The following is a 24,349-nucleotide window of genomic DNA, read 5'->3' as shown; positions in this document are numbered from 1 at the left end:
AATCTGCACGTTCTGCACATGTATCCTGGAACTTAAAGTAAAATACAAAAATAAAAAATAAAACCGATAGGGTTGATATGTTGTTTAAATGAGTCAAAGTATGTGTGAAAATAATTTTAAATAACATGATGTGATGTGAATATTAGTTTTTATTATGTTGTCAAGATATTTGCTATCAAATAAAGTTATCACTTATGAGAGAAAAATATTTTAATGGATTTTTTTGAGTGGCAAGGTCATTACATTGAAATAATAAATAACAGAGGACAATTTCAGAAATAACTTTTTAGCAGTTCAAATTTTCCCTGGAAATTTACTATTGTCCTGGGAATATTACATGGTTCAAAAGCTGAGCACTTCTGCATGGCATTTAATTAAAATGCAGCCTGAACATGCTATGTGAAGAATTTTAAACAGTCTTGTTCAATATAAAATATGCTCAATGTCAGTATATTATGTCTTTTTTTACTATTCATTTTCCCATCAGAATGCATTTGACAGTCAATCTGTGAAAAGATAGATTGGGATTGTGTAATTTTTATATGCTTCTTAACATTCTTTTTATTTTAATGATAAATTTGTAATTATGGCCCATCCCATTTACAATGGTCTGGGAGGTAAGTACTTAAAAATATTTATAAAAATCATATTGCTAATCTCTATAAACTTGAGTTCTCAGGGGTCTAATAACATAAGATAGGACAAAATAATTTTAAAAACATGTTTCACAAGTAACACTCTTTAAAAGCCTCCATCTATGCATGTAAAGTAAAATGGATAGATATAAATAATATTGTTTGTTAAGTATTCAGGATTTTCCAGATTGTCCATTATCCACATCAATCACTGCTAATAATAAAGTACACCAGATAACTTTACAACTCAACTGTTATCTATAGCTTCTTGTTTTTACACAACAATGTGGAAATTAGAATTTAAGAATCAGATGGTGACAAAGGCCATTTGGAGTTGCTAGGCTTCCCCAGTAGGAGGGGTGAAACTAAGTTCATGGGTCCTCAGGTTTGTACAATTTCTTTTAGAAAAAAACATGAAAATTTAATCCAAATGTATTTAAGAAGATCAAAATTTATTTATGAAACCAGAGCAAGTGAAGCACCCTTAAAACTTCACCCTTGGAGTGAATCCTCAGAGTAAATCTACTTCTGCCTAGGCCGACTGAAAAGGGGGCTTCCTTTCCCGGAGGTCCTCTGCTTTCTCTCTTTGTCTTCTGCTTGCCTCTTGCCTTAGTGTAAAGAATCCAGATGGGCTATGCTAAAAAGAAAAAGAAATGTCATGTTCATGATCATAGAGCTGAAGAGTGTTCTTACTTGAAGAACCAGCTGTCCTGCTGAAACAAATGTTTCTAAGATTTCAGGCTATAGTTGGGGAACAGAGGCCAACTGAAAATTCACACCAACTGCTTGAGTAGAACTTGGATCCAAGAGACATTCCATTGTTTCTTTCAGCACAGATAGGAGAATCTGGCAGCCCATAGACTCACCACCAATTCTTGAGCTAGTTCCTTATATCATGTGCAAATGTGACGGTGCTGGAAAGATATCAAGGTGGCTGTTGGAAGCTTGCTGCATACATGCTTGTGGTCTCTGAGTGTATCAAGCTGACCTTTTTAGGAAAATGATGTCTGGCTTGTTGGATGAATTAACTTGCACCCTAGCTGTGAAGCAAAGGAGCTTCAGAGCATTCGGGTGACAAATTGCACAGATAAGATGGCATTTCTTTTCTGTCTGAGTGACAGCGTGCTGAGTGGTGGTCTGATTTTGTGATAATGGCTGGAAAGCTCTAAATAGCAGGCTATTCTCCGTTGAAGCACATATGGCTGATTTAGATTGAAAAATGACAGGTGTTATATAAGCAAAGGTGAGAGCTTGGTAATAACTTTAAAGCTAACAAATGTAGAATTTTGTTGCAAGTTATGTTTTTTACATTTTCGTGTATTTATTAAAAGTTCAAAGTATGGATGCTGACCCATTCAGCATGAAAATAAGATTCTATTTCTGAAACAAAAGGAGTTTAATGTATTTTCGTTTTGATTTAATTTCATTCTTCCCAAGTAATTCTGTCCTCCATAAATACCATTGACTAAAAGTGTCATGTCATTATCCCATCAAAATCACTCACCCGCACATGACTTGGGGCTATGCTGGACATTGTATAAAGGAGGTGTCAGGCAGAATAAAATGACAAATTAAGCAAAGTTCGTCTTTCCACACCCTCTATCTTCCCCCTTAGCCTCATTCTTTATTTTTTTCTTCTGGTCTTTATTCCCCTACCTGTCATTACCCTTCCCACCCCCATTATTTTCTGCTATAGTGTTAATTGATCCGATATTTGTTCATTAAAGAGTAATCCGCATTCTCCAAAATGATACTTAGTAAAACTGGCAAAGCCTTTACATGATAAAATAAAACTATACTGGTAGAATAACAGGCAGTAGGGTTTGAATTTGAGGAAAGGATTCCTTCCCTTAGTTTCATCTCAAGAGGATCATGGGGCTAGCTTCCTATTTCACTGCCTAGTTAGACTAGCTCCATAGAAAGCCTTCTAGGAGGAAATAACCTGAGTAATAAAATAAACACAACATAGACAGAAGCAGCCAGGCTCCAAGTCAATTGAAGAATTAGACCTTCAGAGTAGGAAGTGTCATTAGAGGTGGTTTTGTCAAACCCTGAATTTTCTTCATCTGGAAACCGAGCCATGGAAAAGGTAAGTGCATTGCACATGTTCTTTCAGCTAGAATATTTATACATTTGCTACAAGAATTTGGGTCTTGCAAAATTTCTAGTCCAGTGCTACTTTTATCAACCATATTAACCCACCTCCAAAAAATATGTAAATCCAATAAAACATAAGTGGAATGATATGGTTAGGCTTTGTCTCCCCACCCAAATCTCATCTTGAATTGTAATCCCCATAATCCCCACCTGTCAAGGGAGAGACCAGGTGGAGGTAATTGAAGCATGGGGTCAGTTCCCCCAACGCTGTTCTCATGATAGAGAGTGAGTTCTCACGAGATCTGATGGTTTTATAAGGGGCTCTTCCCCCGCTTCATTCGGCACTTCTCCTTCCAGCTGCTTTGTGAGGAAGGTGTCTTGCTTCCCCTTCACCTGCCACCATGACTGTACGTTTTCTGTGACCTTCCCCAGCCATGCTGAACTGTGAGTCAATTAAACCTATTTCCTTTATAAATTACCCAGTATCAGGCAGTTCTTTATAACAGTATGAAAATGAACTAACACATGGAGCATATCATAATGTTTTATTTTTACCGTGGAGTAGGAATTATGAGACAGGTGAGTCAGGTCTTATGAATGTATTGCAGGAAGGTGGAGAAAGAGAAGAGAAATGAGAAAACTTTTAAAACAGAGTAGGGTGTAACTTTGTTTTTGAGACGAATCTCTGTCCCTTGGCTGGAGTGCAGTGGTGCTATCTCAGCTCACTAGAACCTCTGCCTCCTGGGTTCAAGCAGTTCTCCTGCCTCAGCCTCCTTAGTAGCTGGGACTACGGGTGTACACCACCATGCCTGGCTAATTTTTGTATTTTTAGTAGAGACGGGGTTTCACCATATCGGTCAGGCTGGTCTCAAACTCCTAAACTCAGGTGATCCACCCGCTTCGGCCTCCCAAAGTGCTGGCACTACAGGCATGAGCCACTGTGCCCGGCAGGTGTTACTTCTCGAAACCAGGATGGGAAGGATAGGGAGGAAATATGAGACTAAATACAGATGGAAGATGAATACTGTTTGTTCACCTTTCACTTAAATCCCAATCCTCTTCCCTTCCTTGGCCAACATAAGTCAGAGCCAAAGGGCATGTTGAATGCATACCTTTTTTATTTTACCATCAATTTTGACTTCAGGAAGAAATAGCCAATGACTTTTGAGGCACGTTTATGGGGATTTATTGGGGAAGGAGGAGTCTGATTATACTTAGACTTGGAGTTAGCAGGGAGACACGTGTCTGTAAGGTACTTTTAAAATGTCTCTTATTAGAGATGAATGCAGCGATTATAGTTGTTAACTCAATACCTGTATTTGCCTGTAACAGCAGCTCATTAGTTGCAGCAGATGCTCTTGATTGTCCTTCCATATCTCCTAGTTTTTCAATGCGTGCTAGCTGGACTTTCAATGATCAGTGCCTGCATTTCTTCTCCTGAGGGCTTTCTCTGACTGTTAAAGCCCAGTTTGCCTCCTATATGGTAAACAGATATGCCAGGGTATTAATGTTCCCTGGAAGCCTTCCTCAACCAATAAATGAGTTGGTATGTAAATACCCTAGCTCCTTTACCCCTGAGGCATGTGTTTTCCGTTGGTTTGTAGAGTTTCTTCACAGTGGTAGCTGGCTTGATAATGCACCCTTTATTGGCTGCTTTTTTCTGTTTCACTTCCCTAACTGCTTATTGATATTTCCTTTGCCTCTCAAATGAACCACTTGCACCCTAATCCTTGTCATAAGGTCTGTTATTGAGGGAACCCAAATGAAGACACCCAGATTGCTTATTATGTTAGCAATAGAGTCTCACAACAAACCTCAGGAGAGCCCATCTGTGTTAGGCATTCAATCGCAAGAAACAGCAAACCAAACTTCAGTAACCTAATAGAATAGGGGATTATTTTTCTTCTATTACGAGAATTCCAGTGGCAGACAGTTGCTGGAGTAGGTTCAACTGCTCCATGATCCCACCAAGGAATCAGGGCCTTTCCATCTTCATCTTTACCTTTCATCCTTGGACTTTTTGCTCATGTCACAAAACATCTGCTGCATCTCAGGAACCAGAGCCATATTCCAGGAAGAAAGAAGGGGAGAAAGTTAAATCTTTCCTTTTTGCACAGCTTTGTCTTTTTAGTCAGGAAAAGAAGTCCTCTCCAGGTGTCTCCATCTGCAGTTGAACTAGGTCACCTGCTCATCATCAGACCAATTACTTCCAAAAGGGATGAGATTAGAAAGCCTGGTTTATTTAGCTCAGTCATAGTTCATCCCTGGTGAAGGTCCCTATCTGAACAAATTGGGATTCTGTTAGCTGGAAAGAAGAGGCAGAAGTAGCTTGGGTCAGCAATAGAAAACATCTCATGCATCACCTCTAAAAAGTATATCATTGGTCAGCTCCATGGTAAATATTTCAGTTTCCTCTCTCCACATGACCTATTTCAGACCAATGGCACACCAGCAGACGCATACTCTAAGACAAGGAAAATATAGAAGCAGAGAGGAGTAGCTTTAATGTGCCTTCCTTAAAAGTCTTTATTTTATCTTACTGAGTCTTAGATATCTTTAGAAACTGTATTTCTGAATAAATCTAGCAAATAAAATTATTTCTGTAGCCTAAAAACTACAAGGCATACTAGTTAACCCTTTGTAAAGGGGGCTCTGCTCAGAGAAGAGCACTGTTTTTGCAGGTATAAAAAGAGAACAGAATTCTAAACATAAAGCTATTCAGAGGATACTTTCTTAGTGAAATTGAAGGTCAGTAGCATTCACAAGAACAAAATCTAGGTCTCTAGTTAGTTACCATGAATATGTCCTTGCAAAGATATTGGTAAGAGGTCCCCTGGGAGAAAGCTGGCCTTCTAGAGTTAAACACTGTCTCCTGTGGAATGTTAAGCTTTAATCTTAAAACACTGCATGTTAATTGCTTGTCAGAGAAGAATGTATTGAAATTGGTATCTGAAAGCTCTGAAGAAATATAAAATGCACTTCTTTGAGGTGAGACAAGAGCCTCAAACTTTGCTTTTCTTTCCATTGGCCAAAGGAGAAATTAATAAATCAGTGATTCTGTTAGAGGTCTAGTCTTAAGCTGTACAAGATATATTTTTTGAACAAGGACAAAACATCCTTGTTCTAAGCGGAATCTACTCAGTCAAGGGCTAGAACAGAAGACTTTTGCCAATCATATGGTAGAATGGAAGTGTCACTCCTGCTTTCCAGAGAGCCATGTAGAACAACTTAAGAAATTAAGTGGAAATAGAAACGCAACCAAAGCCAGTTAACCTAAACTAGAATCTATTATGCTCCATGAAACTTTATGAAGCAGATACAGTTAGTTCTGATAATCCAGTATTTTGTAGTTCAGAAATCCTTTTGATTCCTTTTGGAAAGTCAAAGGAATCCAGGAAAATACTGTGTTCCATTATGTGCCAGGCATTGTCTCAGGTGCTTCAGATGGATTAATTCTTAATCTTCAGAACAATACAATCCAGTACTGTGAGTGCTTTTCTTACTTTTGCTTTTGAACCCCCATTGAACAGATGGGAAAAAGAGGGGGCATAAAGGTTCAACCACATGCCCAAGATTGCATAGCAAATGGGTGGCAGAAACAGGATTCAGTCCCCCACCTTCTAATTCTGAAGGCAACATTTTCAGCTACTTTCACTGCCTTAGAAATTATCGGATAAGTGTCCTAAGTGTATTCACTGAGTTGGTATGTCATTAACCCACAAATACTTCAAGAATTGAAAGGAGAGAGATCCTTCAAAATATTAACTTGGCATAAAATTACTGTTTTTTAAAGAAACATTGTCATTTACTGAGCATAATAGTATTACTGTAGTGTTACTGTAGATGCAATAAATCTGCATATTTTATGAAATAATTAAATCTGTATTTCTTACTGCTTATATCTCTGAAATTTCTGAGACTTTAATGAAAATGACATTGATAAACCAAGCCCTGCAGATGCTCATGTTCTGTTTTCATTTTTTTGTTTACTATTCTATAGCTCTCAGATCTTACAACTATGTTCTGAGGAACACGGTCTAATCATCCAGTTTCGTAAGACTTTGACATTAACTGCTATTTTGTGTTAGAGATACTTTATTACACTAAAAAGAGTATTTAAAATTTTGGAATAATGTGCAATTTTGATATAGAATTGTGCACAGTAAAAGTTTACGCTAGAAGTAAATTATACTAAAAATAGGACTTTATCTTCACCTCTTACAAAGATGAAGTTAAGATGTATCAATGGAGTAATGTCCGTTAGTCTGAGATCTCAAAAAGGAAGGAGAGAGAGGAAGAATAGGAAGAGAAAGAGGAAGAATTCTGGATGGATAATTTAATATTTTCAAACAAGGGAAAATATGAATGAATTCTGGCCTCCCCTTATAAAAATTATTTCTTAATTAAAGAAATAAAAAAGTGAAGTTCTTTTTTGATAACTTGATGTGTACTTTCCCAGTCTTTGGGCCCAACCCACCTCAATAAGAGTAAAAATACAAATTTCCTTATAAACAGAAGACAGGGTCTAATATCTAAATCCAGCAGTGGATTTAATAGGTGAATGATCCTGCAATTTAGTAAGTTCAAGAAGATAATGTTACAAATCAAATATTCCAAAACTGAAATCACTATTTGTGAAGATACCAAGTAGATTTTGCCTAGCATAGAAATAATTCAGTCAGTCAATCAGTCCATCAGTCGTTGACTCAGTAGATATTTATTATCTATCATATCTTGGGTACTCTTTTAGGCACTAGGTAGGCAGCAATGAGTGAAACAAAGTCCCTGCTCTCAGCTTACAATCAACTGGGGAGGAGATTGCTCATTGACACATAAACAAGTAAACATATGTATCAGATGGTGATAAGCACAAGGAACAAAGAACAGCTGAGAAAGGAGTAGGGTGGTCAGAAAAGACATTTCTGATAAGGTGACAAAGAGAAAACAATTTCATTTGGTTTCTGTGATGCACATTTTGTAAACGGTTCATCTTAGAGACTATAATCCGGAAGTATCATTTTTTAAAGTTAAGAATTCTATGGGTGCTTCATTGAGATTTTATGTAGCCAGAGTGGTTGTCTACTTATATTTCTCTTAACATTTTTTTAGGTTAAAATTATGAGCATGATATAGAACTTTATGGCTTTGATTTCTCATTTACCTCTAGCTTACTCAGTAAATGTTTTCTAAGGAGAACTTTGGCCTAACATATATACCCTAACTTAATTAATCTCCAAACACAGTTAAGAGACCCTCTGTCCAAGTGGTTGTCCTGATGTACTTCTTTATTTTCAAGAGAATCTCAACTCTACCCCGGCTCAATTTTTGCTATTAAGCCCTGCCTTGATCTACTAGTGCCTGTAAAAGTTACCATTTTTACATATTAAGGGATGCCTACATCAATGGTATATGGTTATTGAGGAACTGAATGAAGCAAAAACCCCCTGAAATCAGTCTCTTCCTCCTGCACATTTTTCTTTGACCTTGGCCCTCACAATTATCTTCAGCTAAATTATACATGTTTGGGTATGTATGTCAAATTCATAATTAGAATATTCCAATTGGTTAATATTTTTAAAAATGTAAAAATGAAATTTCATGAGATGTTTGAATAATAGACGCATGAAAACTTGATATTGGGGAAACTATATTGAATATAGTAATTACGTTTTTTCTTCTTTCAGTTGTTTTGAATATAAGGACAGATAATGGAAACATGGCAGACAACCTAAGCATTTCGTACTTTCCCTCTATCCCTAGTTCCATCTATCCACAAGATCAGAGTGGCAGGTCTTGGGCTCTAGGTGATACCCTTCGTGAAGCAAGTGTGGATCTTTCTCCCTGAGCATCAGAGGAGTCTCTAAACCTTTACTGGGGAGCCCTAGGGCAAGAATTAGAACCAGAGGACCCTAAGGAATTTGTGTACTCCCAGGGGTAAAACTGGCACTGATACTGTGAGTATGTTTGTTCTTGCTAATCCCCAAGAGGTGCAAGGAAAACTAAGCAGGTGGGCTTGGCCTTTACTGTGTGAGGACAGAGGGCAGAGAGGCTTCCTCCTGGTTCCCTTCTCTGTCCCTAAAATTAGAAAATGCTTTGCCTTCCACAAGGTGAACAACAGTCACTTATGGTACCAGAAATATCAGTCATATGCCTAAATGAGCCAAGAAAAGAAATGGCAAGAATATAGTGATGTGGTCCCATCATTCAGAGAAAGACCAAACCACAGAGGTAGGTGCCCAGAGAAAGAGCACTACTGCAGATCCCTGAGGAATCGGAGCAGATAGTCCATCTCAAAAGTTTTCTGGAACTAAAAAAAGCATGATTTTCAAACAAAGAAACAAACCAATAGGTGTATTGAAGAAAAGAATGGAGTCTGTTGATATCTGCATTAGTGACCATAAATGCCAAGTAAAAGAAATCCCTCAATGAATGAACAAAAATGTAGAGACAGACGCGATGAAGGAAACACATAGATGGGTGCAAAGACTTAGAGTAAGAATAATAGGTTTTCCACAAAGAGACAAATGTAAAAGATAAGCAAGAGACAATGATTTTACAGGTAATAGATGAAAATTTTCTAGACTGAACATAAACCTGAATTCGTAGTTTGAAAGGAGATACTACATTCCAAGTAAGTTTGGTAAGAAAAACAAAACTAAACAGCATACCTGGGCATATTATAGCAAAATTCTTGAGCCACAAGAAGGAAAAGAAAAATTTGTATGCTTGCAGACAGAAAAAACAAGATACCCCCTAAAAGAAAAGAATCAAAGTTACCTGTGAGATAGCATATCATACAAGTTTAGAATAATGGCTTGGGTCACCTAGTCTAGTTTTGATTTCACATTTCTCTATTTAATGCCTATGTGTCTTGAGTAAGTTACTTAACCCTATTTCAGTTTACTTATATATAAAATAGTGATCGTGATATCCATAATGTTTTGCGAGGATTAAATTAACTAGTAGTTAATTGATACATGGCTTAGAACAGTGCCTGGTACATAGTATCAATATATGTGGTGGCTATATATGTATATCTCAAAGCTGCAAGTCAGAAGACAGAAGAAAATCATCTACATCAAAAAGAACTAAACTCGGGGATCCTATACTCACCCACATGATATGGCTCCTCTGACCTGGTGACTGATATCTGTGGCTACGTAAGGGTTGGATTCAGGAAGCATATCACCCCATCTGAGGAATTCTGAGACCTGAATCTTCCTCATCCTGAAGGATGATATAAAAGAGAGGAACCAGAGGTCTCTATCATAGCCTAGGTGAGGGAGCCTAGGCCCCAAGCTTTCCACAGTCCCTGAGATCAGAGTCCCTCAGATCACAGGTCAAATATAACCTTACTGAATAACATTTGGAACTGGCTCTAGATATCGAGAGCCTCTTGATATCTAGAGCCAGTTCCCAGAGCTGCAGCAAAAACCATCACTACAAATACAAACTCTTGAGATGGCATCATCCAGGGAAATAATAGATGTAGAAAAATAGGGGTGTGTGTGTGTGTGTGTGTGTCTCAGTCTCATCCCCCTCAACCCTGGGTGTCTATAAAAGAGTCTAGAAGTAAAATCATTCCAATTACAATGAGCACACCACACCAAATCTTGATTACTGAAAGCTATTCCCCATTAAGAGAAAGTCGGCCTCCTTGGAACAATATGTGATTTCAGGGCTGATTTTAATATGGAACAGAAAGTATAAGATGAACCAGAAAAAGCTGAACATGAGTTTTCCCAAAATAAGAGACATATTGAAAGAATGTAGGAGGTAGCCTAAAGGGGAGAGAAGTTCCTAGGTCAGATCCTGAATCTCAGGGAGAAAAATTCCTCTCATTTGTTCTCTGTGGAGCCTGGCTCCATTTTATGAAAAATCTTTCTTTTCTGGTATTTTCCCTGGCCTTATGAAGTCGGCATTGGGAAGGATACTCTCTACAGGATTTGCAGTGCTTTCACTGTATATATTCCCTATGGAAGTTTGAGGTCCAGTGGGTTTTAAGACTCAAATAATCAACATATTATGATATGGTTTGGCTGTGTCCCCATTCAAATGTCTTAAGCTGTAGTTCCCATAATTCTCATGTCATTGGAAGGGACCCTGTGGGAAGTAATCGAATCATGGGAGCAGGTTTTCTTGTGCTGTTCTCATGCAGTGAATAAATATCATGAGATCTGACAGTTTTATAAAGAGCAGTTCCCCTGAACACACTCTTGCCTGCCGCCATGGAAGATGTGCTTTTGCTACTCCTTCACCTGCCATGATTGTGAGACCTCCCCAGCTACATGGAACTGTGGGTCCATTAAATCTTTTTCTTTATAAATTACCCAGTCTCAGGTATGTCTTTATTAGAAGTGTGAGAACAGACTAATACATATTTTACTGATGTCTTTGGCAGTAAAATCCCTCAGAAATATAGTAGGCTTTTAATCTGTTTTCAGTCAGTCCCATGTACCAATAATCACATCCCAAATTATCTCCTAAAGGTAGATTCCCATGTCTGCTTTTTCTGTTTCCTTTCCCTGTGTCCCTGTATTTCAACTTTACAGTAGCTTCTTTGGAGGCATTTGAAAGAACAGGCTTGGGTGGGACTGAAATAGCCTTATGCTGGTTTTTGCCCTGGGACTGAATCACTTGATTCAACTGAGAAATCTTAATAGGCCTCTTAAGATTTTATTTTTCAGTCCTTCTTTTCTCAGATTTTAGGAGTTAGCTTTTTCCTCCTTGTGAAGTTACATATGTCCAGCTGTGATTTCAAATGAGCCGATTTTTGCTGATTTGCTGAAGGTCTTTTTTTTGTTTATAATATCTTGCTAAAAGTAGAAAGAAAAATACCCTATATTAATACTCTTTTCAACAACTTTTCTTAAAGCCACATGTGCAGTAGACACATGGTCTGCCTGAATTATGACACGTGGCAACTTTACCAAATATTTTGTCTCTGTATAATACTAGTTTCCATTTTTTTCCAGCTTATATTATCCATTTTCTCATTGCATACACTTGACCTTTAATCCAAGATAATATTTTTAATTGTAGTGATACTCTATAAGGTATATCTTTTTGTGTTAATTAGGATAGCACTAACTGCTATAACACATAAACCCTAACCTGTTATTTCTACCTAACCTAATGGTCCAATATGTGTCCCGGTTGCTAGGCAGTTTTCCTTTACACACTAATTTAGGGCACTCCTTTGTCTTAAGCCTCTACATCTTTGACGTTCTCACCTCTAACCAATGGATGGGAAATGAGGGTATGAAACTTTTAAGTGACACATTACTTCAACTCACATCCCATTGGTGAGTAGTAATGTAACCTCTGAGTGGCAACTCCACACTCTGGAAGAGGAAGCACAAATTGTATGTGAATAGCTGGCTTCATCTACCACTGCTGCCAACAAATACTACATAATCTTTTGATTAAACTTAGACAATTAGCTGCATGAAACCCAACTCACATCTGCTTTTGTTCCTTACATTGATCAAATTAACATTTTTTTCTGTATAATGAAGTCAAATCCCTAATGTAAAAATTAACCTTTTTTTAAGTGTAAGACTTTGCTTCTGTTAAACTTTGTCGTGGCAGTAGCATCCTTATTAAGATGGAAATAGGTTAAGGAATATATTTTATTGACTGAAATTTCATGATGGGAACTAGGAATAATGCAATTGGTGTTTAGATGTGCTTTTTAGGATTCCCTCTACTTTATTATTCTGTTGCGCCCCTTCATAACAATTTGTTTTCTGTGCTCTCAATACTAAGAAAATCATGCCACTCCCACATTTCTCAGAGAAGAAGTATAATAGTAGATAGGTGTGTTACAGGTTGAACTCTGTCCACACTGTTGAAGTCCTACCCCTAGTACCCCAGAATGTCACTTTATTTGGAAATAGAATCGTTTCCGTTGTAATCAGTTAAGATGAGGTCATTAAAGTAGGCTCTGATCCAATATGACTGGTGTCCTTATGGGGAAGATAATGTGAAGACAGATACACAGGAAAAAGGGCACGTGATGACAGGCAGTGCTTTGAAAGACATAGCTGCAAGCCAAAGAATGCCCATCATCGATGACCACCACCAAAAGCTAGGAAGAGGCAAAGAAGGCTTCTACTTAGAGTCTCAGGGAGAAACAGTTTGATTGTAAACTTCTAGCCTCCAGACTGTGAGAGAATAAATTTCTGTTTTTATAAGCCACCCATTTGTGGTACTTTATCACTGCAGCCCTAAGAAGCCAACACAAGGTGCAAGAGTTGAGGATCACCTCTGGAAGCTGCCATCTGTGAGGTCCTGGGTGGGTCGTTTTATCTCTCAGAGCCTGTTTCTTCAACTGTAAAATGGGAGAGAATTATTTTCATCTTTCAGGACTGTTAGGATTTAAAACTTTACAATTTTTAGCACAAGTCTTGACAAACTGTAAGTGCTTGGTTAAGGGAAACTATTGCAGTGTATTGGTTGTTTGAGTATTGAGTGGCATAAGAATTGAATATTTTTCCAGATATCACTGCTGCAGCTTTGGACCTAACGAAGTGGTTTTTTCAGGACAGTATATTTTTGTACTCCTTCTTCCAGGTATCTCTGTATACTACTATTCAGACTATGCCTCCGTGCTCAGACAAAATGATTTATTTAGCTTTGGCCTTAGAGCAGGAAAACTCTTCTATGAGCAAGGATCGAGAAGGATACAATAATGTGTTTAATTCATTGATTTAAGAAATGTTTACTGAACACTTAAGTTGCAATAGTGCCTGGCACTATGCCAAGCCCAGGGGATGCAACAGGGACTGAGGTCCAGTCCTCTTACAGCTAATTTACAGTCAAGGCTTAGTGATGAGTCCCTTGAGGACAGTGCAGTCAGTGCTCAGGAAACGTGCAGCAGTAGTCTCTCCACCAGCCTTGGGAGTCAGGAAAGGCTTCCTGGAGAAGACGTACCCTCAGCAGAGCCCTAGGTCTAAGTTACTAATTAGCCAGCAGGATGAGGATGTTGTGGGGCATAGGTGCTTCCAGCACGGGGGGCAAACCAGACACAAAGGCCCTGTAACGGTTCGGCTTCCGGCTGAGCTCTCAACAAAGGGTGGTTGAGTGGCTCTATCAGAACGCTCTTGTATATTTTGGGTAATTCCCCTAGACTTAAAAACTTTGATGCATCTAAGGCAAATGAGTGTTCTTTACAATCTTGCCACTTATTCTGATTTTTGATTTGCTCCAAAAAAATGCTTTTACCATAATTTTTCAGTTGAATAATCATCCTTCTGAACAGAACAGAAAATAACAAAATAATAAAATACATCAAAACAAAACCACCGTCCAGTCCTTTTGTCTCCACCACATTATTTGTTAATACAGTGTGATCTCTTCTTTCTGGTTATTTTAATAACCTAAAATAATAGGGAGTTATTTTTCTCCTGTCACAAGAATTCCAGCAGCATGCAGTTGGTGGAGTTGCCCTTATCCCACTATAGCTGGTTCCACTTTTTATGAGAAAAACTAAATTTTCATTGTGCCAAGCCACTGTATTTCAGGATTTATCTGTTCCAGAACCTTAACTAACAAGCTTTATATGCACCCCTTCCCCTTGGCAGGTTTCCAAGCATGAAGCAGACCCAGCTCAGGGAAAGAGAAAAGGTTTAAATTGGGTGAGAGTTTGAAATTTTCATATTACGCTGATTGGATGTGTATGTGTGTGTTGAAAAATGAGATTTCTTAGAGCAACCAAGATTTCATCAAGGGTTGGGGAAGACCAAGTTGAGAGATTACTTAAGAAATATAAAGTTGCTTTCTGTTTGCATCTTACCAACTTCAGCAATTTAATAAACTAGTTAGAGTTTACATGTTTCTTTGATTCAGTAGAAGTAACTATATTGATAGTTCAGTGTGCACTAACAAAATTTTTTTTGCTAGACAACTTAATGCCATGTGTCTTAGTCCACTGGGGCTGAATTACAAAGTACCATAAACTGGGTGACTTATGAACAACAAACACGTATTTCTCATAGTTCTGAAGACTGGGAAGTCCAAGGTCAAGGCACCAGCAGATTTGGTGTCTGGGGAGGGCTCATTTCCTGGTTCATTGATGCTGCCTTCTCCCTTTGTCCTCACATGGTTGAAGAGACAGGGCAGTTCTCTGGGGCTTCTGTTATAAGGGCACTAATCCCATTCACAAAGTCTCCAGCCTTATAATCTAATCATTTCCCAATGGCTTCCCACCTTTGAACACAATCACACTGGCGATTAGTTTTCCACATATAAATTTGGGGAGGACACAAACATTCAGATTAGAGTACCGTGTTTAATTTATTAGCTTTCCACTTGACCCTGCAGAGATACACCCATGTGAATAAATTAGCACTACTTCATTCTGTGCCATTAGCCTACCATCTTATTTTACTATATCAAGGGATGGAAACATTAGATATAAACTTAGTTTGGAGGTTTTCTTTTTTTTGGAAAAAGACTGAGATTTATTCATAATCTTGGGATATTTATGTTATGTTTTATATTTCACATTTGAAAACAAAATATAAACATAAACATATTAATTCTTAACATAGGGTTATGATGACATATCTTGTTCTTTAAAAATCATTTTAAAAAATCCAGCAATATGAAGGACAGAAATTAAGTAACTTTCCTAAGGTCACACAGCCAATAAATGGATATAAAGGAAGAGGAAGGAGATGTAATAAACCCTTCTTGTACTTATTTTTAGATACTGCCAAATAACTGCATTAGCTATCTGAAAGTTATTTCCAATATCTCTTTCTCTTTTTTTTTTTTTTTGAGACAGAGTTTCGCTCTAGTTGTCCAGGCTGGAGTGCAATGGCACAATCTTGGCTCACTGCAACCTCCACCTACTGGGTTCAAGCAATTCTCTTTTTTTCTAATTTTTATTTATTATTATACTTTAAGTTTTAGGGTACATGTGCACAATGTGCAGGTTAGTTACATATGTATACATGTGCCATGCTGGTACGCTGCACCCACTAACTCATCATCTAGCATTAGGTATATCTCCCAATGCTATCCCTCCCCCCTCCCCCCACCCCACAACAGTCCACAGAGTGTGATGTTCCCCTTCCTGTGTGCATGTGTTCTCATTGTTCAATTCCCACCTATGAGTGAGAATATGCGGTGTTTGGTTTTTTGTTCTTGCAATAGTTTACTGAGAATGATGATTTCCAATTTCATCCATGTCCCTACAAAGGACATGAACTCATCATTTTTTATGGCTGCATAGTATTCCATGGTGTATGTGTGCCACATTTTCTTAATCCAGTCTATCATTGTTGGACATTTGGGTTGGTTCCAAGTCTTTGTTATTGTGAATAATGCCGCAATAAACATATGTGTGCATGTGTCTTTATAGCAGCATGATTTATAGTCCTTTGGGTATATACCCAGTAATGGGTTGGCTGGGTCAAATGGTATTTCTAGCCCTAGATCCCTAAGGAATTGCCACACTGACTTCCACAGTGGTTGAACTAGTTTACAGTCCCACCAACAGTGTAAAAGTGTTCCTATTTCTCCACATCCTCTCCGGCAACTGTTGTTTCCGGACTTTTTAATGATTGCCATTCTAACTGGTGTGAGATGGTATCTCATTGTGGTTTTGATTTGCATTGCTCTGATGGCCAGTGATGGTGAGCATTTTTTCATGTGTTTTTTGGCTGCATAAATGTCTTCTTTTGAGAAGTGTCTGTTCATGTCCTTTGCCCACTTTTTGATGGGGTTGTTTGTTTTTTTCTTGTAAATTTGTTTGAGTTCATTGTAGATTCTGGATATTAGCCCTTTGTCAGATGAGTAGGCTGTGAAAATTTTCTCCCATTTTGTAGGTTGCCTGTTCACTCTGATGGTAGTTTCTTTTGCTGTGCAGAAGCTCTTTAGTTTAATTAGATCCTATTTGTCAATTTTGGCTTTTGTTGCCATTGCTTTTGGTGTTTTAGGCATGAAGTCCTTGCCCATGCCTATGTCCTGAATGGTAATGCCTGGGTTTTCTTCTAGGGTTTTTATGGTTTTAGGTCTAACGTTTAAGTCTTTAATCCATCTTGAATTGATTTTTGTATAAGGTGTAAGGAAGGGATCCAGTTTCAGCTTTCTACATATGGCTAGCCAGTTTTCCCAGCACCATTTATTAAATAGGGAATCCTTTCCCCATTGCTTGTTTTTCTCAGGTTTGTCAAAGATCAGATAGTTGTAGATATGCGGCGTTATTTCTGAGGGCTCTGTTCTGTTCCATTGATCTATATCTCTGTTTTGGTACCAGTACCATGCAGTTTTGGTTACTGTAGCTTTGTAGTATAGTTTGAAGTCAGGTAGCATGATGCCTCCAGCTTTGTTCTTTTGGCTCAGGATTGACTTGGCGATGCGGGCTCTTTTTTGGTTCCATATGAACTTTAAAGTAGTTTTTTCCAATTCTGTGAAGAAAGGCATTGGTAGCTTGATGGGGATGGCATTGAATCTGTAAATTACCTTGGGCAGTATGGCCATTTTCACGATATTGATTCTTCCTACCCATGAGCATGGAATGTTCTTCCATTTGTTTGTATCCTCTTTTATTTCCTTGAGCAGTGGTTTGTAGTTCTCCTTGAAGAGGTCCTTCACATCCCTTGTAAGTTGGATTCCTAGGTATTTTATTCTCTTTGAAGCAATTGTGAATGGGAGTTCACTCATGATTTGGCTCTCTGTTTGTCTGTTATTGGTGTATAAGAATGCTTGTGATTTTTGTACATTGATTTTGTATCCTGAGAATTTGCTGAAGTTGCTTATCAGCTTAAGGAGATTTTGGGCTGAGACAATGGGGTTTTCTAGATATACAATTCATGTCATCTGCAAACAGGGACAATTTGACTTCCTCTTTTCCTAATTGAATACCCTTTATTTCCTTCTCCTGCCTATTTGCCCTGGCCAGAACTTCCAACACTATTTTGAAAAGGAGTGGTGAGAGAGGGCATCCCTGTCTTGTGCCAGTTTTCAAAGGGAATGCTTCCAGTTTTTGCCCATTCAGTATGATATTGGCTGTGGGTTTGTCATAGATAGCTCTTATTATTTTGAGATTGGAGGTTTTCATAAAAACTTACCAGCCTCCTTCTCCCTCCTCCCTACCACCCCAAGCCTGGTACTTACATTGCTACCTTCTAGCTCCTTTAGACTGGAATCTGCAGTTGAAACAAATGTTTTCCTATTTGTTAACTTCTGAGCAAGTTGTCTTGTTTTAACACATGGTCCATGCTCTTTCGGTTCTTCCCCAACCCCTCATCTCATCAGGAAGGCAGTCCGAAGGTCATGCCCCAGTCTAATTTTGTGGTCCTACCTGCTCAGAATGGAAGTTAAGACAATGACAGCAACAGAACAAACTAGAACAGGTTCTGACCACTCATACCAAAACAAAAAAGAGAGCAAAAATAACTATAATTCATGAAAGTGAAATAATAGAATGGCAAAATGGCAAAGGTCAAAATAGAAGCCAACATATTGTAAGTCTGTTTTACTGTCAATATTTTTATACCACAGAAACACCTTCATATGAAGTCAGATGTCATTTTGTACACAGTAGATTGTCCACTAGTCTTTTGTCCACTAATAAAACTATTTTAAAAATCTAAGTTTATTGGATTAATCATAATATATTACTCTTATTGAGTATTTATTACGTGCCAGGTATTATTCAAAGTCCTATGTATATTCTGCTTTATTTAATCCTTATAACACACACTGTATGCAAGGACTCCCCTCATATCCATTTCACAGAGAAGAAGCTGAGGAATAGCCTAGAGAAAATAAGAAAATTGTTCCAAGTCACACTGCTAAGAAGTGATAGATAGTATCTTCATTTGTATCCAGGTAGACTGGCTTGCAAGCCTGAACTATCCATCCAGGTATTAACTACTACTGATGGCTGAGCCTTCACAGGGAGCTAGACTCACGACCAGGCACTTCACCTTGATCATTTAATTTAACCCTTACAACAACCTTCGAGATAACATTAACAATTCACAATTGAAGGTACAAAGGCTCAGTAAGATTAAGAAACTTGCCAAATTTATATTTATAATCTGATCTCCAAAACAGCCTTTGTTGTTGTTGTTGTTGTTGTTTTTGAGGTGGAGTCTCGTTCTGTTGACTAGACTAGAGTGAAGTGGTGGGATCTCATCTCACTCCAACCTCCGCCCCCTGGGTTCAAGCGATTCTCCTGCCTCAGCCTCCTGAGTAGCTGAGACTACAGGCACACACCACCAAGACCAGCTAATTTTCATATCTTTAGTAGAGACGGGGTTTCACTATGTTGTCCAGGCTGATGTTGAACTCCTGACCTCAGGTGATCCGCCTGCCTCAGCCTCCCAAAGTTGTGGAATTACAGGCGTGAGCCACTGCACCCAGTCCAAAACACTCTTTACGGTGACCATATAATCTATTGTCTAAAGACCAGGATACTTTAAAGAGTGAAAGACATTATTAATGATACTGGGAGAGTAGTCACAAACCAGCACTCTCCCAGGCATGCTGGAATTCATGACCACCCTCCACTGTACTGGACCTGACTAGCTGATGATATTCTACCTCAAATCTGTAGAAAGATTCACATGACAAAAGATATAAGTGTTCCACCAGGGTTTTCTGAATTGGCATTATCCTTCTCCCTTCTATTTGTGTCCTCTGCCAGGCCCCTTTGCAAACCCCAATAGACTAACTTCCTCTCCTCTATTTCAAGTCTTTTGGGAAGAAAAAAAGACTACAATTAGATCTTATAAATGTGTTTTCCTTGTGTGTGAAATGATGGTTTATTGGAACCTTGGAGAAAATAACATCCTTTCATCTAAGAGCAGAGCTGAACAAAATGGGAGAACACAGCAAGGACTAATAATTTAAAGATAAATTTATAGGTCTACTGATCTAATGACTAAGAATAATTTGCTGTTTGCATCTTAAGGGGTAAGGAAATTGTACTCGAAACCAGCTGTGCATGGCAATCTCCTCTAGCATTAAGAACAATTCAGATGCCCAACTCTCATTTCAGACTTATGGCATCAGAATCTTAGAAGGGTAAACCCTTCAGGGTTTCTATCTTTTTAGAGCCACACCAGTGGTTCTGATTCATTGCAGGGAGAATGAATCCATATTAAATCCACCTGACCCTAACAGGCTGTTCTTGCAGCAACAAGGAACGTGTATATTGATCTTGATACCATGCGTGGACATGATATTGATGCCAATATCTTGCATGTGCCATAGTTAACAAACAATCCATCCTGGGTTTTCTTCAACATATATCAGGAACTTTTTTGGTTGTTTTTCTAATCTAAAATGATGAAATCTTATCCCTCAGACCTATTTAAATATTTATAGTCTCTTTCATGGTTTCTTTTACTTCTTCTCTAACTCCTCTTCTTTCCCTGCAGCTTCTAGTACATCTGTACATACATACAAACATACACACATATCTATCTGTATCAAGTTTCAGAAGAATTCAGGTAAATATATATATAATCTCAGTTTAGGTAAATATATATAATCTCAAAATACCAGGTAATATACACATTATTTGAATTACCTCAAGATATATTTTACCTGAATTATTTTGATATTTTAAAATCTCCCCTTTTCTTTTTCATAAAAAGGTCATTCTGTGTTGACTTATTTTCAGGATTATGAGACTTCTTAAAGCCGTCCTTGATTTTTATTTAAACTGTAGACAATAAATATCTAATAAATAATTTCGAAGAAATCCCATGAATTTTTAAGCCTTTATCTTATTTCCCAGATTCTTTTTTTCCAACACATTATGAAAATTTTAAAACATACAGCATAGTTGAAAGAATTTTAGAGTAAACATTAATGTACCCACCATCTCAATCCTGCTATGAACATTTTACTTTGCTTGCACTACCACATACCTGTGCACCCGTCATTCCCCCATCAATCTATAATCCATCCTATTTGACGCATTTCATAGTATATTTATGGCTGGGCATGGTGGCTCACCCCTGTAATCCCAGCACTTTGGGAGGTCGAGGTGGGCAGATCACTTGAGGTCAGGAGTTCGAGACCAGCCTGGCCAACATGGTGAAACCCCATCTGTACTAAAAATACAAAAATTAGCCGGGCATTGTGGCATGTGCTTGTAATTCCAGCTACTCTGGAGGCTGAGGTGGGAGAATCGCTTGAACCCAGGAGGCAGAGGTTGCAGTGAGCTGAGATCGCACAACTGCACTTCAGCCTGGGTGACAGAGCAGGACTGTCTCAAAAAGCATATTTATATACTGATTTGATAAATTTTATGGCTATTTCTAACATTGATGGTGACAAAATATTTCAACTGTATATTGTCATTCAACCAAGCAAGTTTTCATTCAAAATAACTCCATGGTAAAAGACAGCACAGGTCAGATTCCATTCTCAGGAAATAAAACATATTATCTTTTGCTGGTAAGAGGATTTAAAGGTTGCTATTAAATCTCTATATAATGTAATGTATGTTTTTATTTTAATATTTAATTGTATTACACAATTTGAAAATATTAACCTTTTGACCAAAAAAAATTAATAAAAATGTTACTATTTGTTCAGTATTAAGAAAAGGCAGCAGTTGAATGTAGGACTGTTAAGTATGAACATGCATCTGATTTTTGTCCTTGTACCCTCAAATATGGTTTACAAGTTTATAATATGTCCTAGATGCAGGTAGTATGCATATCTGGAAGAAACAAGAATGAATGATATCTCTGTTCTGGAGTATTCAGAAAAGTAAAGGATACAAATTCATTTTGAGTTAAAATTTTATTTACTTGGTATCTAATTACCTGATTATTTTTAATTAATACATGAGATATGGAATTAAAGGTCAAATTTGTGATATGCTTATAATACTTTACAGGCAAGCATAATATAAATAAAAGCCGCCACAGTATACATACCTGAAATGCAAAATTTATGCCACCCAGTATAATACATTAAGGTAATTTATGTGTGTACTTGAGGATAATCACAATAGCTAGTCATAATTTACTCTTGACTGCATTCTCAATAAAATGCAGGTAGTTAAACTCTCAGGAATCGTTTTAATGTTCTGACTTGAAAATTGAAGTAAAAGTCTATGTTTATCATATTGCTGTGTGCCTGATGTTTTTGAATTTAATGAATGAGAGCAAATAAAACCAGAAAAGTTTGGAAACATAGCTTGCAAGATATCTTGCTGATGAGATTGCTAGGGTCTAGCCTCTGTTTCTGTGTGACCTTAGACAAGTCATTTCCCCTTTATTGGCCTCATTCGTCCCGTCCGAAAAGAATAGGTTGGACTGGCGGGGTGTGGTGGCTCACACCTGTAATCCCAGCACTTTGGGAGGTGGAGGCGGGCGGATCACGAGGTCAGGAGATCGAGACCATCCTGGCTAACACATTGAAACCCCGTCTCCACTAAAAATACAAAAAATTAGCCAGGCGTGGTGGTGGGTGCCTGTAGTCCCAGCTACTCGGGAGGCTGAGGCAGGAGAATGGTGTGAACCCAGGAGGTGGAGATTGCGGTGAGCAGAGATTGGCCATTGCACTCCAGCCTGGGACACCGCGAGACTCCGCCTCCAAAAAAAAAAAAAAAAAAGAAAAAAGTTGGACTAAGTGATCTCCAGGGTCCTTTCTGACTTTAAAATTCCATGATTTATTAAAATTTAATGTTTTTTAAGCTGAGAACTTACATTCAAACTAATTTTTCACAAGGAAAACTGCAGTATGTTCTTCTTTGACAGAGGATTCTCTCTCTCAGAAGCTAAAGAAAGTATTTATTAGGTATATAAATATGGGGAGAACTTGAATTTTATATCTTAAAGCAATTGAGCTACTTTAAATTTTAGCAATTGTGCTAATCATAAATTGCATAGCATCTTTTTTTTATAATTTGCTGCTCAAATATAAGAATAATTTTAATGTCAATCATTGGTGCTGGTAACTTGCATGGTTTCAGAAGACATAATTGTGAATACATGGTGTAAGAGTTGAAGGGTTGGCTTTTACCCTAGACTTCACTCTTTTAAAAAGCAAAATGCAGCAACATAGATTTATGGCTCAAATTAAAGTATATAAGGATTTATTGAAGTTGTACCAAAGCATTCTGTAGAACAGAATAGGATGGGTGTTAACGTCAGTCTTTTTGTAGAACCAGAAATTAATATGTCATCTTTTAAAGCTTATACCAAAATATCTATGTCCCCCATTTCAAGTCAGGAGTCAAACATTTCTTCTCTTAATAGATGGGCCTAAGATTTTTTTTTCCATTAGTATTTTTGTGAAGCCAATTAATTCTTGTGCTATTTTAATATATGTAATTATAATTTGGCCCATTTCAAGCCTTTTAAAAATGTATTAACATCTTTTGAGATAAAATTGGACCTTTTTAGTTATCACAGAAGTCTATTCAGAAAGAGGGTATGAGCTGCATACCTTGCACAGTGGAGTTGACCACCTATAAACTCTCCCTAAGACATTTGTTTACAGGTGTATTTCATTTTAGCAAATGCTTTGGTCCTCAGTGTATGTGCTGCATACAAATAAATGTGTTCTGAATCTTTTCATCTTGATAACATTTTTACAAATTTTTCCAAGGAATGAAAATTATTCTTGCTTTTTTTTTAAAAAAAGTAATTGTGACATTTGCTCATAAAAGTGAAAAAAAAGTCCATAGTTTGTAGCATCTGGCTATGGTGCAATATGATGTTGATATGGCAGGGTTTCGGACCCATTTGTTGAAAATACAAGTAACAGAGGGTCTTCCAAAAATAAGGACCTTTTACACAGATATTATTTAAGGACACCATAGAATAGTTCTCTTCTCCCCAAAATATCTCCCACACCCACCTGAAACCTCACCGTCATGTTTCATGGGTTTTTTTGGGGGGAGATCCTGGCTAAACACCAAGAATGTTCACTGTCATTCTCTGCCTTTCTTAGCCCTTCTCAGCCATAGAGGCTGAATCCTTCACTTTAACCTGACTCAGCCCTATCCCATCCTTCTGGACTACGTTAGTAGGATAGGGAAACCAGTAGATGCCACACTTCAACAGGTGGAAGTTAGTATTAGTTTTGCTGCCATAAGCTTTTGGTATTTTGGTGTCTTGGAACCACTTTGGCTCACCTCATGTCTTAGTCTTCTTGTGCCACTGTAAGAGAATACCAGAAATTGGATAATTTATAAATAGTAGGCATTTATTTCTCACAGTTCTGGAGGCTGGACAGTCTAAAATAGAGGCACTGGCAAGCTTGTTGTCTGTTGAAGGCCTAGTCTCTGCTTCTAAGATGGCACCTTGAACAGTGAGTCTTTACGTGTTGGAAAGTGGAAGGCAAAACAGAAGAGATAGCTCCCTCAAATCTTTCTTAATAAAGCCCTCAATCCCATTCATGAGGGCTCTATTTTCATGACTAATCCACCCCCCGACCTTTTCATATAAGCACATTGATGATTAAGTTTTACCATATGAATTTTGGGGGATAAATTCAAATGACGGCACCAAGGTACCCACTAAATCAGCTTTCTACCAGCCCCTGTGTACTTGGTGTCTATGTGAACTGGACTCTCCTACTGACTGTCTATTGCAGTTCCTTGAATTCCAAGTTGGCTTGATGATGTGTGG

The 24,349-nt window shown here is 37.9% G+C and overlaps 1 long non-coding RNA gene across 1 annotated transcript in view; it reads right to left on the bottom strand.

The window, feature by feature from the left end:
* Nucleotides 1–1,066: 1,066 nt before the first annotated feature.
* LINC01479 (long intergenic non-protein coding RNA 1479) overlaps nucleotides 1,067–24,349 on the bottom strand; it is a 40,783-nt gene continuing 17,500 nt past the window's right edge. The window contains exon 3 of the long non-coding RNA NR_120456.1: nucleotides 1,067–1,272. This is a non-coding gene — a long non-coding RNA (long intergenic non-protein coding RNA 1479). The remainder of the gene's footprint in view (nucleotides 1,273–24,349) is intronic.

The sequence above is a fragment of the Homo sapiens genome, chromosome 12 (genome assembly GCF_000001405.40).
Source record: "Homo sapiens chromosome 12, GRCh38.p14 Primary Assembly".
In the NCBI taxonomy this organism is placed as follows: Eukaryota; Metazoa; Chordata; class Mammalia; order Primates; family Hominidae; genus Homo; species Homo sapiens.
The sequence above is the reverse complement of the archived record's forward strand: the minus strand, read 5'-3'. Positions and strand labels throughout refer to the sequence as shown.